This window comes from Homo sapiens, chromosome 20 (assembly GCF_000001405.40).
Source record: "Homo sapiens chromosome 20, GRCh38.p14 Primary Assembly".
Taxonomy (NCBI): Eukaryota; Metazoa; Chordata; class Mammalia; order Primates; family Hominidae; genus Homo; species Homo sapiens.
Genome location: NC_000020.11, coordinates 9,256,820 through 9,272,122, shown reverse-complemented (window position 1 = coordinate 9,272,122; position 15,303 = coordinate 9,256,820). Strand labels below are relative to the sequence as shown.

Sequence of the window (15,303 nt, the reverse complement as noted above, 5' to 3'; positions counted from 1 at the left end):
CACTGTAACCTTGACTTCCCAGGCTCAAGTGATCTTCCTACCTCAGCCTCCCGAGTAGCTGGGACTATTAGGTGCATGCCACCACGCCCAGCCAATTTTTTTTTTTTGGTAGACATAGGATCTTGCTGTGTTGCCCAGGCTGAGGTCCTGAACTCCTGGGCTCAACAATCCTCCCTCCTCAGCCTTCCAAAGTGCTCAGATTATAGGTGTGAGCCCCCACACCCAGCCCCATGATGCCTTCTTAATCAAAGGTCAAATCACATCCCTCTAAAATCCAAAAAGCACAACCCTAAAAGCCCCAACTGATATAGTTAGTCTGATGTTACGTGTGACTTCTGACTCCAGGTACAAGTGTTATAAAGAATTCTACTACATTTGCTATTTTGGAAACCCTTCTTGGAAGAAGCTAAGTGTTTCTAATAAGCCATCTCATTGATCCACAAAACATTTTATGCAGGATGTATTATTTACTCACACTTCACATTGTTCGGAAACATTTTTTTACAGGGATAAGTAATCTGGACAAGCAGTTGTCATCTTAATTATAGATGCACATAATTCATGTATAAAAAATAGTAATGACAACGTCAATGTCTTCTAAATGACAGAAAGCTTAAATGCAAAATGGTTGTAAGCATAAACTTTGTTACCAGAGAGTCCTGGGTTCAAAAATTCTTGAATGAGCTATGTAAATCCTGGGAATGGTAACTAACTTCTTTCAACTTCAGCTTCCTTAACTGTTAAATGTTGGTAACACTACTACCTACCTGATAAAGTTGTGAGATAATGAATGTAATATGCAGAATGTCTGGGGTAGAATAAATACAAGCAAACTTCTTGGTTTCTTTACCTCTGACAGTTCAGCTGAGCCTGAGAAAGTTTAGCACTGTCAGGGTCCTGCTTTCAAATAAGATGTAAAATGGACAACTTGAGGTAATGAACAATCATAGAACACTTCAGAAAACAGGCAGGGGTAAGTCCTCAAAGGCTGGATGAATCCACAGCTGGAAATTACATTCTGCCCAATAAGGCCTTTAGAGACCTAAAACAGAATGTTGTAACCTTTTCTTTTTCTCAGCTGTTGGCTAGCAATGCTTTCTCCTGCTGCAAATAATAAACCAATTTCTACAATGAGTCATCAAAATATGCTGAAATTTGTCTGGAAGAAAGGCTGTCTGTGAATAAGGCCAAAAATGAGTCCATCTTTTCAAATGAAAATATGGGTGGTATTCACTGATCTTTCCATGATAGTATGGAAATCAACAAATAATTCATCTAAAAAATATTTGTTTTTTTTTGGAAAACTCATTGAGGTGGCATAAATGGGCACTTGGTACATTCTAGGTAGCATACTTGATCTATATATTAGACTGGAAATTTCTTGAGATTTGTCTAATTTTCTTGATCCTACCCAGGAATCATAATTAAACTATATAACCTTATTAATCATCAATAAAGAACACTGAGTTTGAAGTTGCAAGTAGGGTTCATAATATCCATGTTATTTTTTAAAAATATATGGAGAGTTTGAATAAAAGGAAATATGTGATTCTTTCAAAATGTAAGTCATGAATGGTACATACACACAATGGAATACTGATCAGCAATAAAAAGAAATAGATTACCTATACAAGCAACAACATAGATGAGGCTCAAATGCATTCTACTAATGTCACATTCAATACACATTGTATGATTACCTTTCCATGACATTCTGGAAAAGGCAAAGCTAGTAGTGATGGAGAATATATCCTTGGTTACCAGGAGGTATAGATGGGAAGAGAGCTGGAATACAGACAAACAACAGACAAGAATTTTTTGGAGTAAAGACACTGTTCTGTATCCTATTATGACAGTGATAACATGATTCAATGAATTTGTCAAATCTAATATATCAAAAAGTATGAATTTTACTGTTTGTACCTTTTAAAATAAATAAAAAGAAAAAACTTTAATTCACCATTTAGTGATGCTTAATATTACTTTAAGCTGTCATAGACAGGTAGTTTCTCTTGAATACAAAAGGAACTTCATTAATAAAATCCCAGGGGAACCCATTTTTTTAATACTGTATTATGTACTATGGATTGTCTGTATATTGCCAACCCACCCTTCCTTGGTTAGGGAGGCCAGGAGGTTAAACATTAAATTTCCAAGACTCCTATGCATCTGAGTTTCACCAGTTAGAAGCACTTAAATATTTAAAGGGCAGTGGCCATCTTCCTGCTGCTACTGCCCCTGGCAATCACAATTTGACAGATACAGGTTTTAGAGGAAATTACAGCAGCTATAGCAACAGTGGGTGTGCTCTTGAACTCAAAAGTCCAGTGATGGCTACAACATTCCTCATCATTCACCAGCATTTCAGGCCATTTTCTAAGTACCCAATCCCCATGTATTAAATCTTTCCTGTGTGAAATACCTAGAGTGGTTTCTTTTCTTTGCCTTGATCTCTGTTGATATAAGAGTAGTTTATTTATAAAATGTTCCCTGTCGTGGATCTTTCTATGACAGAATTATTCAGAAGTTTCAGAAACGTTCAATTTAAATCCAGCAAAATATAGCCAAAGTGAAACAACCTTCTGTTTACCAGATTTTTCAGTAGCACTCAGTCCTTGCTCACTGTGTTGGAATGATGACATAGTTGAACATATTATCTCTTATGGCTGACAGCTCCAGGCTAATATGCCAGTAGTATTAACCCTAGCAGAAGAAAGACTCCACTTCCAATGTACTTCAAATAAAATCTCAGAATTGAGCTTGTTCATCCTAATTGGTCAGGTCTTGGCATCTTCTCCATTCCTGAACCAAAAGCATTCCATCCTTAGCTGTGGGAGGTCATAGCCAAGGTCACTCTCATCACTGATAAATGAAGACAGAACATAAAACCTATACTCACTGATTAAATGTTTGCATATCCGTGGACTTTAAATATATCCTTTTCTGTTAACAACTAATCAGATTAGTTAAGCCTAAAATAAGTGCTGTAGACTTGTTTAAAGAAAAACTTCCCATGAGGCTTCACAAGTATAGCCTAAAGTATTAGGAATAAGCCTCATTTTTTTGATCCCATGTGACCTGCATTGCTGCACCTTTAAGGAGGATATGACAGCAAATTCAATATGCTTACCCACCTTGCTCAATGGCTAAAACAAGCAGTGCCTTTTGGGCAAGGTAGGTGATGACAAGGTTCAGAGGAGAAATGCAACAATGAGGATAAGGGTCATGGATGTGTAGCTAAAAATACCTTCTCATTAGGTGCACAGAAATTTTATATAAAAGAAATGATTAAGACATGCATGTAGTCTGGGCATTATAAAAATAAAAAAAGAGTTGGCCTGTGCTAATTATATAGTTTCTTTACCTCTAAAACAGTGGTTGCTCATGGTTGTGGATGCTGATAGTCTTTGTCTCTTAACACCATTTCTGCTTCTGCAGTGGATGTTGATAGTCTTTCCCCCTTAACATCGTCCCCCTTGTATGGATAAGAGGGCACTGATGTTTATCTAGAAATCCTTCCTTTTCCTGCTGTTAGTTCCCGAGGTTCCTGTGAAACTGACTCTAAAAGTGAAAGATTGTGACTTGGGCTATGACCTACCACAGCTGGAGATGGAATAATCTTGGTTCAGGAATGGACAAAATACCCAGATATAAGCAATCAAGATTCACAAGCTCAGTTCTGAGATTTACTTGAGATACTTTGAAATTAGAGTCTTTATTCTGCTATGTTTGGAATAATGGGATATCAGCCTGGAGCTGTCAATGACTGAAATATGAAACCAAACACAGCAGAAGACATGGCAGAGAAACAGAAAGAAACCAAGTATGATCAGACTGATCAAGACCCTAGACCCAGCCATGGGTTCAATGAGAACCAAAAAGTTACCTTTGTCTCACTTAAAACTCCTGTGGTGAACATACTAGTTAATTTTGCTAGTTTGTTTTTGTCATCAAAAAAGTCTTTACTGAATTAATTGATTGCCTTAGTCCCTTTTCTGTTGCTTATAATAGAATACCTGAAACTGGGTTTATAAAGAAAAGGAATTTATGTCTTACAGTTATGGAGGTGGAGAAGTCCCAAGTCAGGCAGCTGCATCTGGTGAAGGCCTTCTTGCTGGTGGAGACTCTCTATAGAAGTGACAGAAAGAGACACCTAACCATGTTAGCACACTCAGCCTCCTTGCCATGTGATGCCCTGTGCCACCTCAGGGAGGCATGCTACCATGGTCAGGTGTCTCCTACTCTTTTTCTGAAGCCACAGACCCACTCCCATGCTAACCCATTACTCCATTAATCCATGAACAAATAAATCTATCATGAGGGCAGGGCCATCATGAATCAAGCACATCTTAAAGTGATTGCCACATTGGAGATTAAGTTTCAACTTAAATTCAGGAGGGGACAAATATGCAAATTATAGCACTGACACTGAAGGTTAATCTTCAGCCCAAAATGTATATTTTTCTACATATTTTCATGTATCTAAGCACAGGTTCTTCAGCTTTCATGAGATTTTCAGATGAGTTTTAACCCCCCAAAAAGGTCAATAACTGATTTTCTAGAGAGAAAAATAACCTCAAAAATCAAATAAAAACTGCCCTTTTATGATATATTTTATTACAAATAATAATTATTTTAAAAAGCTTGACTAATTTCTACTTCTAAACAGAAAAATAGACATGGAATAACCACAGAAGAAAAGAAGTAATTAACCATGTAAGGCCAGTGTTCTAAGATTCCTAGCTTTAGGAATTTTTCTTGATTCCCCAAATCATAGCAAACATAGTGAAGGCACACACAGCAAATGTAGCTTATAGATAAGTCATAAAGATGATTTAAGTTACAAGTTGATATAATGTCCTAGTTGACAAAATGGTTGAAGAAATGTCATATTTGGCACATATTTAATGAAAATCACTTTAATACTGTTGTTTTCTTCTCATAATTTGAAGCCAATAAATTTCCCAGTACCTAGGAACTGTGACTAGAGAGAGTACCTAAGTTTTGGAGGGAACAAATGATTAAAAGAGTTATTTTTAAAAGTTGCTACATAAGAATATACACGTAGTATGTCGTGCTCCATTTCCACCCATTTTATCATAAACTTGCTCTGTTCTATTTGTGAAATCTCAGGTTGCCTATCTCTATCCTAAGGTACTGCTGCACAAGGCTAGTTCTCTGTTAATTTAGAAGGTTCTTCTGCAGATCCTTAAGGATTCTTTCCCATACATTTTGCAGTTTAATGTTAACTTAATTTATAATTTGTAACATTTTAACATTAATCTTCTAATTTATAATTTTATTGAGACCCACACAAATATAGAAATGTAGCAATGAATCAAGATAAAATCAAACCCACAGAACAAACCCTCAATATTCTACCCAGCCTCCATTTTAGAAAAGTGGTCAGACACTAGAAAAAAATAATTTAAAAATGTTCAAGTACTATAGGGAGTCAGACTGAAATGGCAGCTTTCAAAAGAGGAAGAAAAGGAAAAAGAAAGCGACAGTATTAAGCAATTTTTTTCCATAAGGAATGTTTTTTAAAAAGGCTTAAAAGCCCCAAACAGGTAAAACACAATGAAAATAACAGATACTAACTATTAAATTGATATAGGTGTGGATCCAACTTACAGGGCCAAAAATTTTTTACTGGATTTGATTTCAGACGTGTGAGGTGGGACACCTCACAGTAATGTTTACTGATAGGTACACATTACAAAAGTAAGAGAAAGCTGACATTATGGTCTTAACATCTTTATCTAGAACAGTGCTTCTCAGACTTTAACTGCAAATGAATTACCAAGCGAGCTTGTTAAACAAACAAACATACAAGCAAAAACAGACAAACAAACAAACAACAACAAAAAAAAGCAGATTCTCATTCAGTAGATCTGGGGCAGAGACAGAGATTCTGCAGTTCTCCAGAGATAGCAATGTTGACCCATCAGGAGACCACACATTGTATAGCAAGGCTGTAGATTTCAGTATTTCTCTTAACAGTTACCTTTCCACTTGAAGCTGCTTGCCAACATTTCTTTCTAAATAGTCTTAAATGTTTATATGTTTAGCAAATGATTTCTCTTCACCACAGGTAAAAAGAATACTTATCAACTTTCTTTTTTCCAAGTACTATTTTTAGAGGCGTGCTCCTCAAATTTGAGCATGCATCGAAATCTCTTGAAGGGCTGGTTAAAACAGCTGGGACCCATTCCCAAGATGCTTCTTCAGTAAATCTGTGGTGGGGCCTGAGAATCTGCATTTCTAACAAGATGACCATGCTGCCGCTTGCCCAGGCACTATGCTTTTTGACCCACTGAGGCAGGGCATCCATCAACAGCACTGCTAGAAGTTTCTGTAAGAATTTATGCTAATGGAAGATTTTTACCATCAGAGAATAATCAAGTATGGCAGCTTCAGAGGACCTGAGATTAATATTCTCCAAGCCCTCTTTTTGGAGTTGAAGGGAAACAGCACCAGAAAGATTAAGTGTCATACCCAGGGCCACAGAACTGGTAACGAAAACACTGTGAGAATCAGAACTCTATTATTTTGTTGTGACCCCAGGAGTCTTGCCCCTATACCACATAACTGCTGGTCATCGGTTGCTTGTTTTTGTTTTGTTTTTTGTCTGTTTTTTGAGACAGAGTCTCGTTCTTTTGCCCAGGCTGGAGTGCAGTGTCACAGTCTCGGCTCACTGCAACCTTTACCTCCGGGGTTCAAGTGATTCTCATGCCTCAGCCTCCCGAGTAGCAGGGATTACAGGCGTGTGGCAACATGCCCAGCTAATTTTTGTATTTTTAGTAGAGATGGGGTTTTGCCACGTTGGCCAGGCTGGTCTCGAACTCCTGACCTCAAGTGATCCATCTGCCTTGAGCTCCCAAAGTGCTGGAATTGCAGACATGAGCCACCACGCCCAGTCCCCAGCCTCGTCATCTTTTCAAGTACACCTCAATCACTCACTGATGGTCCCTAATACTACAACACTGAACAGATTTTGGTCCCAGTCATTCTCTTTTTAGAAATAATCTCCAAGAAAGGGTTTCTAAATGTGGTGCAAGGGCCTCCTCTATCAAAATCACAATGGGGCTTGGACTTGCTTAAATAGTCAGATTCTTGGAGTTGCCCCAAAACTAATGAATTTGTTGTCTTGGGATGGCATCTGGGAAAACGCATTTTGACAAGCCTGTCTGCCCACATCCACACCTGTTTGGTAAACGGTCGACAGGATGATGTCTCTTGACACTGGTTGCACATTAGAATCTCAGGGGAGGGAAGGGATTAAAAATCCCACAGTCCAGGCTGCACCCAGAGCAATTACTCTGGACTCTCTGGAGATGGGTCCTAGGAATCAGTAGTTGTCAAAGCTCCCCAGGTGATTCCAATATGCAGCTCAGGTTGAGAAACAGTACTTCAAAGATTTCCAAATACTTCCACATGCCTATTCAAGAAAAGGACATTACATTTCCAGACAAAATGAAACTGTTTTGATAAATACAGAAATTTAGTCACAAAAAATCAAGTGCATTACAGCAATTGGCTTCAACAATTCCAACATGATCCAGTGAAACTATACATTTCTACTCCAACAACATAAACACTGATGAAAGTTCTGAATTCATGTCAGAAGGGCCCCATTGAGAGAGGCCACCTGATTGCCCACAGAATTAGAAATTCTTGTTATTTCCATCTGATCACTTCTATTACAAAGTAAGGATTTTTATAAGAAAATAATTTATATGGATTTTCCAATCAGGTTACTAAATAATTAAAGCGTTCCTGCAAATAAGCAGATTGATTTAACAATAATGGCAGGTTGTAGGACACACATTAGTTCCCAGGGCCTTTTAGGGAGTATAAAAGAGAAAATGAAGGAAAACAGAGTTCCTGCAAGGTAGAGTGTCAGAAATTTATCTTTTTAGACTTCAAAGTCCGAAATATTAATGGCATGGATTTCTGAATTGCTGCCACAGATGTTCTACCTGGTGAGTTTCTTGAGGGAGTCTGTATTCTAAATAGACTTAATACAGAATTATCTAGTAATTTCTCCTAAATCAAAACTTGTTATTTAGCCCACAAAGAGCTTAAGCTTTATGAAAAGATGCCTTTTTAAAGACGTTAAAAAACTTTCAGAGGCAGAAGTGAAAACAGGTGTAGTATAATGATTGAATATAAGTAACCTCAAGGTAATAACTAATTAAAAATGAACTTGCTGATACTTGCCTTTTGGACATGATTTTAACACCTTTACTGCTTTTCTCTTTCCTTTTTTCATCCCACTGATCACCCCTTTGGTACCAATACACAATAAGATGGACACAAAAACTATCTTTCTCTTGAACACAGGCAGCTCTCTCCAGCTCATCCTGAACTCAAGTTTCTAGCAGAAACACCTTAAATAAGAGCTCAGTGAGGGCAGGGGATAGCTCTTAGCTGAAGCTTGGCCAAAACAAATTAGCTGCCAGATAAAAGGAGACAGGTACCTGTGGAAGAAGCCATCTCAGTAGCCCTGGTCTGTGTTGGTTCCTAATTCTCTCCTCCATCTAATTAGCATTTCTCAAAAGTCAGTGCTCTACAATTATCAGGGTATCTTGTTACCACGCGACTCTAACACAATAGGCCTAGGGAAGGGCCTGAGAGTCTGCATTTCTAACAAGCTCCCAGCTGATGCTAAAGCTGCTGGTCCATGGGCCATACTTTCAATAGCAAGGGACTAGATATTCTTGTTGGTAGAAAAGAAAAGACAGTGATGGTGAAAGATCATGTCCCCTGTCCCAGACCTGCTAAGATATCATAGGGTAGTGGTCAATTTTAGGTAGTGGTCAATTTTAGAGAACTCCAGCCCACAATTTTCTTCCTTGACAAGTATTATCAGACCCCTATCCACAACGCTATCCATGGCACCCATATTTGTGCTGGGATCTTGCCCCTGGCCAGTGCTGACTGGACCAAGGAGGGACATGTGCTCAAAGCTGAGCACATGAGCCGATCAGCTTCTTCCTCTCTTGAGAGTTTGGGATTGAACTTCAGGGATGCTAGTTAAGAGCTGCCTGAAATAGGCATGTAAATATCTAGGACAGTCACCCAACCTCATGTATACAGAGAAACAAGGGCAGAGAAAAACAGCACTGGAAGAGCAGAGATAAGAGAGCCGCTGAAAATCAATCACTGCCTGGATTCTTTAAAGCTTTCCAGTTCATATTTTTAGATCCTCCCCTGCTTACTCTGAGATTCCTGGACACAGCCTTGTGTTCTTTCAATACGTTCCCCTTTTTCTCACTTAAAGCAGCTTGAGAGAGTGCCTGCAAATTCCAATGCAAAGAGGATGCAGTTTCACTTTTCATCAGAGAACACATCTAGTCCAGAGTTGTATAAAACATCCTGGCTTTGTCTCAGATGTCAGGATCTTAGAGGAATAAATAGTTCATGTCCATATCCAACAGTACCAGGCAGCTTCCTGGAGCTTCCTGTGAAAAACCATGTAACCTTCTGCAAGTCATTTACAAGGAGTCTTCGTTTCCTCATGGAATGCCAGACAGTGTCAACTCTTCAAACTCCTCTATTATTAAAACTCTGTTTACCTCAAGCTACTTCCTTCCTTCCTACTCCTCCAGTCTCATCATCCTTACATGCCAAGTGAAAAGAAATCCTGCCTCATCCTCCATGCTCTTCCTTTTGCAGGTAACTCCCTTCCCAACCCATGGGAGACAAGTGGCTGGCCTGCAGAAGGCATCCAGGAGGTGGGAGCTATGCTCTTTATAAATTCCGCCCTCTTCTCTCTCTCTCTCTCACTCACTCACTCACTCGCTCACTCACCTACTCACCTGACTACCTCATCTATTCTCTCATGTTGAGCTATCATACTCTTTCTTATTATAGTCCTTGTGAATGTCTCTGATCTTCCACTTTTTAAAAAAAGTTAATGGTTCTCAGATGGCACTCGTTCTTGGGTCCCCATATCCCAAAAGAATCATTCCTCCTCCAGCTCAGCCTATCCCATTCATTCAACTGACGATAGAAGACACAATTCCAAATTCCCACTTTCCAGAATGATCACCTTATCCTGTCTTGTATGACATGTATTAGACTTGGATCAGGTGGAATTCACCTTGATAATGCTGGTTTATGCCAAATGAGTCATTAGTTAAAGGTAAACAACACAGCCAAAAGGAATCTGCAACCTTCTGCCTCCTTGAGACAAGGACAGAATATAGATTCATCTTTGTCTTAAAATGCAAGGGTATATAGCTCCATGTCATTTTTCATTAATGAAGTTTCTGTTTTTTCACTTATTGGAGAGTATCGAAGTGCACAGCCAGTCTGTTCTCATTAACAATGTGTCCTTGGATATGTCTTCCATATCCACAGGGGAAGACTTCCATTCACCTAACATTAACAGCTTAGGAAATCACTATTGATTATGACAAGGTAAACATTTCATTATCTTTTTACTTATGAAATCAATTACATACTCAAAGTCAAGTAAAAGAAGAAGTATGTTCAGTCCTCACCACAAAGATATATTCATTCCCAATTTAAACTCTTAGAATATTTTTAATTGATTTCTCTAAAATGATCTAATTCAGTCATTAAAACTATGCTTATGAAGAACATTCAATGCCATGAAACAGCACTCACAATATTCTATGAGAAAAACAATCATATGCACAGCATATTTCCTAAGTTTTAAAAATGGTTATATGTATATGTCTAGACATTCTAGAAATAAATACAACAAAATATTATTAGTGTTTATATCTGGATGGCAGAATTACTGTAAGTATTTAATTTCTTGTTTGGAATTTGAATTTCCTAAAATCTTTTCAATGCACACGCACATATATGATTAGAGAAGAAGTAAACATTAACAAAAATTATACATGGTCTACACTCAGCAAATTAAAAAAAAAAAGAGAGATTCATGCATCCCCTTTGCTTTGATTGTCCTGCTGGAAGCACACATCATTACATTAATGTGATCTGCTCACATGCTTCTTACACTGTGTTAGAAAATGAAGCACACTGGAGGAAGACTGGTGGTTTCTTTAAAAGTGTCTTAGACTGAAAGGATGGGATAAAGAATCAATTTTAGTATTGCTTTGAAAGTGCGAACACTTGCCTCTTGGACTAATATACTTAGGGTGGGAGAGAAGAAAAATAATGGCTTTAATACTTTCATGCAACTTAGCCTCTTTTTCATTTGTAAACATATTGCTTCTTACCTTCTAAGGCAATGTGTTCTGTTCTAAGATAGTCTCCGGGGCTAGAACATATTTCAACATGTATTTTATTTCTTTAAGGGATTTTTACTTGAAAAATACAGAAAATGAACAAATCTAAGTAAATAAAATCATAATTCTATGATCATCTCTCTCTCTGAAAATTTATAAAACAAGAATATGAAGTTCCCTCCTCTGCCAATCCAATAAGACTTCTGAGACACAAGCACTAGTCCTAGTTATTATATATGCATAAGCTCATATATACACACATATATATCAAGTAAATGTATACATCAATGTCAGCATATACATGTATATGTAGATCTATAACTATACAATTATATAAACATACATGCTTTTAAAAATTAACATGATGTCACTCTATACATTTTTTTGCAGTCTGCATTTTTCAAAACATACAGAATACATTTCTCAAAGGGAACCACTGTGCCATCAAATGGCACACACATTCTAAAATTTAATACTGACAAATTATTCAACAACCCCTGCCAAAAAACTACACAAGATATCCTTCAATTAGAAACTTTTTACAAAAAGAGAATAACTATGTTTATTAAGAAAATGAAAATCAAAACAGTACACTAGCCTGAAGTAGAAGGAGGAAATGCATTCAAAGTCTATGGTATTTTATTTATTTTTTCTTAAACTGGGTGGTGACTAAGGGTGTTTGTTGTCATAGTATTCCTCATGCTTTTCATATACTTTACAAATAGCCCTTTGAAACTGCTCAGTGTTTAGTATGAAAATTTTCTAAAACATATAAAATATAATATAAAGGCTCTTCCTTTCCCATTGCACCCTGGTCCACTTCTGGGATGGTATGAACACATAAATCATTTCTAATTTCCATTCTTCAAATGTACCTCCAAATCTCTAGATCAGGGACTGCTCAGTAAAAGTATAGTGTAAGTCACATTTGTGATTTTACATTTTCTAGTAGTAATATTAAGAACAATTTTAAATGGTAAAATTAATATTAATAAATTAAATGTTATTTAACCAAATACATCCAAAATATTATCAATTCATGTAATCAATATAAAAATTATTGAAGTATTCTACATTCTTTTTTTTCATACTAAGTCTTGAAAAGTTGGGTATATATTTTATACTTAGAGCCTATCTCAATTTGGACTAGCTGCCTTTCAGTGGCTCAATAACCACACATGGTTGGGATGCTGGGTTGAAGAGTGTATCTTTAGATAATATGCTCAAACCTCTATTTCTTGATTTGTTTACTGAGAAATTATCATTTAACTCCACAGTATGCCATTCCCTCCTTCTCTCCATCTCTGCCAGTTTTATTTCAATATTTCGTTTTTTAATTGACTTTTACAGCCTTGTATTTAAACCTCTCTTTCTTAATTCACCAAACTGAGTTTCTCTTAAATCCTCTCTCTGTAAAATAACAGATTAGAGTCCCTGTATTTCTCTTCATTTCTTTTCCCCTTTCTACTTCCCAACCTTTCTCCATTAATTATTACTTTTACTTTGTCAAGGTGATATCATGTTCTGTACTATCTATTTTTTACACGTTTTTAAAATTGGATGAATAACATTTACAATATGAAAATTACATAATTGTTCTCTGCAGAAACAAGTGGTAAGTATAAATGCAGAGAGAAAGCCATGCAATATTATCACTAAAGTTGTGCTGCTCAAAAAACATTAACAAAGAAAAACTGAGAAGAAGGAGCCCTCTTAAACAGTATAAACTACATCCACTCACTCAGACCATTCCATTTCATCACACTTCCTGTTAGGGAAATGTCATTTGCTTTTAGGATTTCTGAGTTCCCCAAAAATCCTATTGTAATTTTGCCAACTTTTTGTTCTGCTTTAAAAGATTTGCCAAATAACTATTGTCTTAGATTTTTTTTATTGCATTCCTTGGTCTAGTTTTTCCACCTGGTCTCGAAACCCATATTTCCTTCTTTTGTTTTATTGAGCTTACACTGCATTAATTCTTTTAGGAATGATCTGGGGTGATCAAATAATGTAGATCTTACTTGTCTGAAAATGTGTTTATTTCACCTTCCTGGTAAATGTGCAGTATGTCTGAGAACAAAATTGCAGGTTCAGAATAATTTTACCTCCAAACCATGAAGTCATTCCCTTGTCCTCTAGTCCTCTAGAAATTATCTTTTTTTTTTTTTTTTTTTTTTGAGAGGAAGTCTAGCTCTGTCACCCAGGCTGGAGTGCATTGGCGGGATCTTGGCTCACTGCAACCTCCGCCTCCCGAGTTCAAGCGATTCTCCTGCCTCAGCATCCTGAGTAGCTGAGACTACAGGCACACGCCACCACACCCGGCTAATTTTGGTATTTTTAGTAGAGACGGGGTTTCACCATGTTGGCCAGGATGGTCTTGAACTCCTGACTTCATGATCCACCCACCTCGGCCTCACGAAGTGCTGGGATTATAGGCATGAGTCACCATGCCCGGCCTAGAAATTATCTTTGTGGTCAACTTTCCACCCCACTCCCATTTCTGGACTCTTTTAACATCCTCTCCTTTTCCTTGCTATTCTGAAATATCGTGAAAATGTGTTTAGTTACTGGTCCACTCAAATTCTTTTTCTTATCACTTATCAAGTGATTATACATGCATATTATCTAACATTTACATAAAAATGTGAATAATGTTATTTAATTTTCCAACTCAGATGGAAAACAAGCTGCTAACACTAGAGATACTTTAAAAGACATGCTGCCCAGGGGAGATGATGATCCAATGCTAAATTAAAACATCTGTGTGTGTGCGCATCTTTATTTCCTCCACTTTTTTTCCCCTCTATTAGAAGATGTAGGACCACGTGGAATGATTCTCTAATGTCTCCACTTTCATTAATTTTTTTTTCCAACTCTTGGTTCTTTGTTCTGTTTTCTAGAAAAGTTCTGCATCTTTTCTTTCAGCTAATATGCTGTTTTTAAAAGTCAACAATCAGACTTAATTTCCAAGAATCCCTTCTTGCTCTTGAAGTCCTCCTTTTCATAGGAGTCTGTCCACAACTCCCTGATAAAATTTAAATTTATTTTAAAGTTCCATCTCTTCTCTGATTTCTGTTTCTTCTGAATCAGTTGGTAAATTTGTTCATGTTAAAATTTATATTTTAGTTATCTACTTTTCCCAATACTGTTGATTCTGGTTCGTTCAGTCCTGTTAGTGAAAGATCTCGAAGCCAAAAGGAAGGAATCTTGGTCCAAATATGTATCTATGTGGCTTCTTCATTTGTACCCATCAAAATGAAGATCTTTCCATTTCTGGCCAAGTCAGGAATAGTTTTTGATGAGCCTGTCATCTTGGAAGCCCAAAGAACCATGAAACATTTGGATTAAAATTTGGCTTTCTTACTGCAGTTTTCAGAATTATAGCAGATGAGGGTCTATCGTACATTATTTCAGGGTCAAGATTTATCTGGGCAATAAAGGGTTATAGTTCTACATAATTATATGGCTACATTGAAACAGATTCTAGAATTAATTTAGTATTATAATTAGTTGAAGAAAATTTCACTCACATTTAAAGCTTAACCAATAAATGAATGTATTTATTTTCACACTATTCTCACTTGTGTCATTTTAGGACATTCTACTAAAGCAAAAAGACACAATTAAAATCATGCAGTTACCTCCATCCTTTCTTATTATGGTAGTCTACACCAAAGAAAGAGCAAGTTACATGCCCTGTTTCCAGAAACAGAATAAATACTACCTCTAGGAGGAAAGGAAGTATCCCAAGATATTCAAGTTAAGAACTAAAATGATCTCTGTGTGCCTATTTAATTGCTCTTCTCTCATACCTGTATCAGATCTATATTTTAAGAAAGTTACTGAGTAACTGTTTCTTCTTAAGATTCTCTGAGTTCATAAAATCTTGCTCTTAGATGGAATCATCCTCCATGAGAACAATCACTTGCCCACAAACCTCAATGTGCAAGTTGCCTTCCATTTATGTCAACTTCACTCTTCCCTCAAGCCTTGCTACTCAGCATACTAGAGTCACATGTAAACAAAGTCCTCCAAAACTAAAATCCTCAGGAAAATAGGAAAATGTATTTCT

At 37.0% G+C, this 15,303-nt stretch overlaps 1 protein-coding gene across 12 annotated transcripts in view; it reads right to left on the bottom strand.

Moving 5' to 3' along the window:
• Positions 1-15,303, bottom strand: part of PLCB4 (phospholipase C beta 4) — a 412,131-nt gene that overhangs the window by 208,686 nt on the left and 188,142 nt on the right. The window contains exon 1 of one of the 12 annotated variants that reach the window (XM_024451900.2): positions 1,701-1,917. The exons of the other annotated variants lie outside the window; for them this stretch is intronic. The gene's annotated coding sequence lies outside the window, so the exon portion shown is untranslated. Of the gene's footprint in view, positions 1-1,700; positions 1,918-15,303 lie in introns of those variants that run through there. 12 annotated transcript variants of the gene reach the window in all.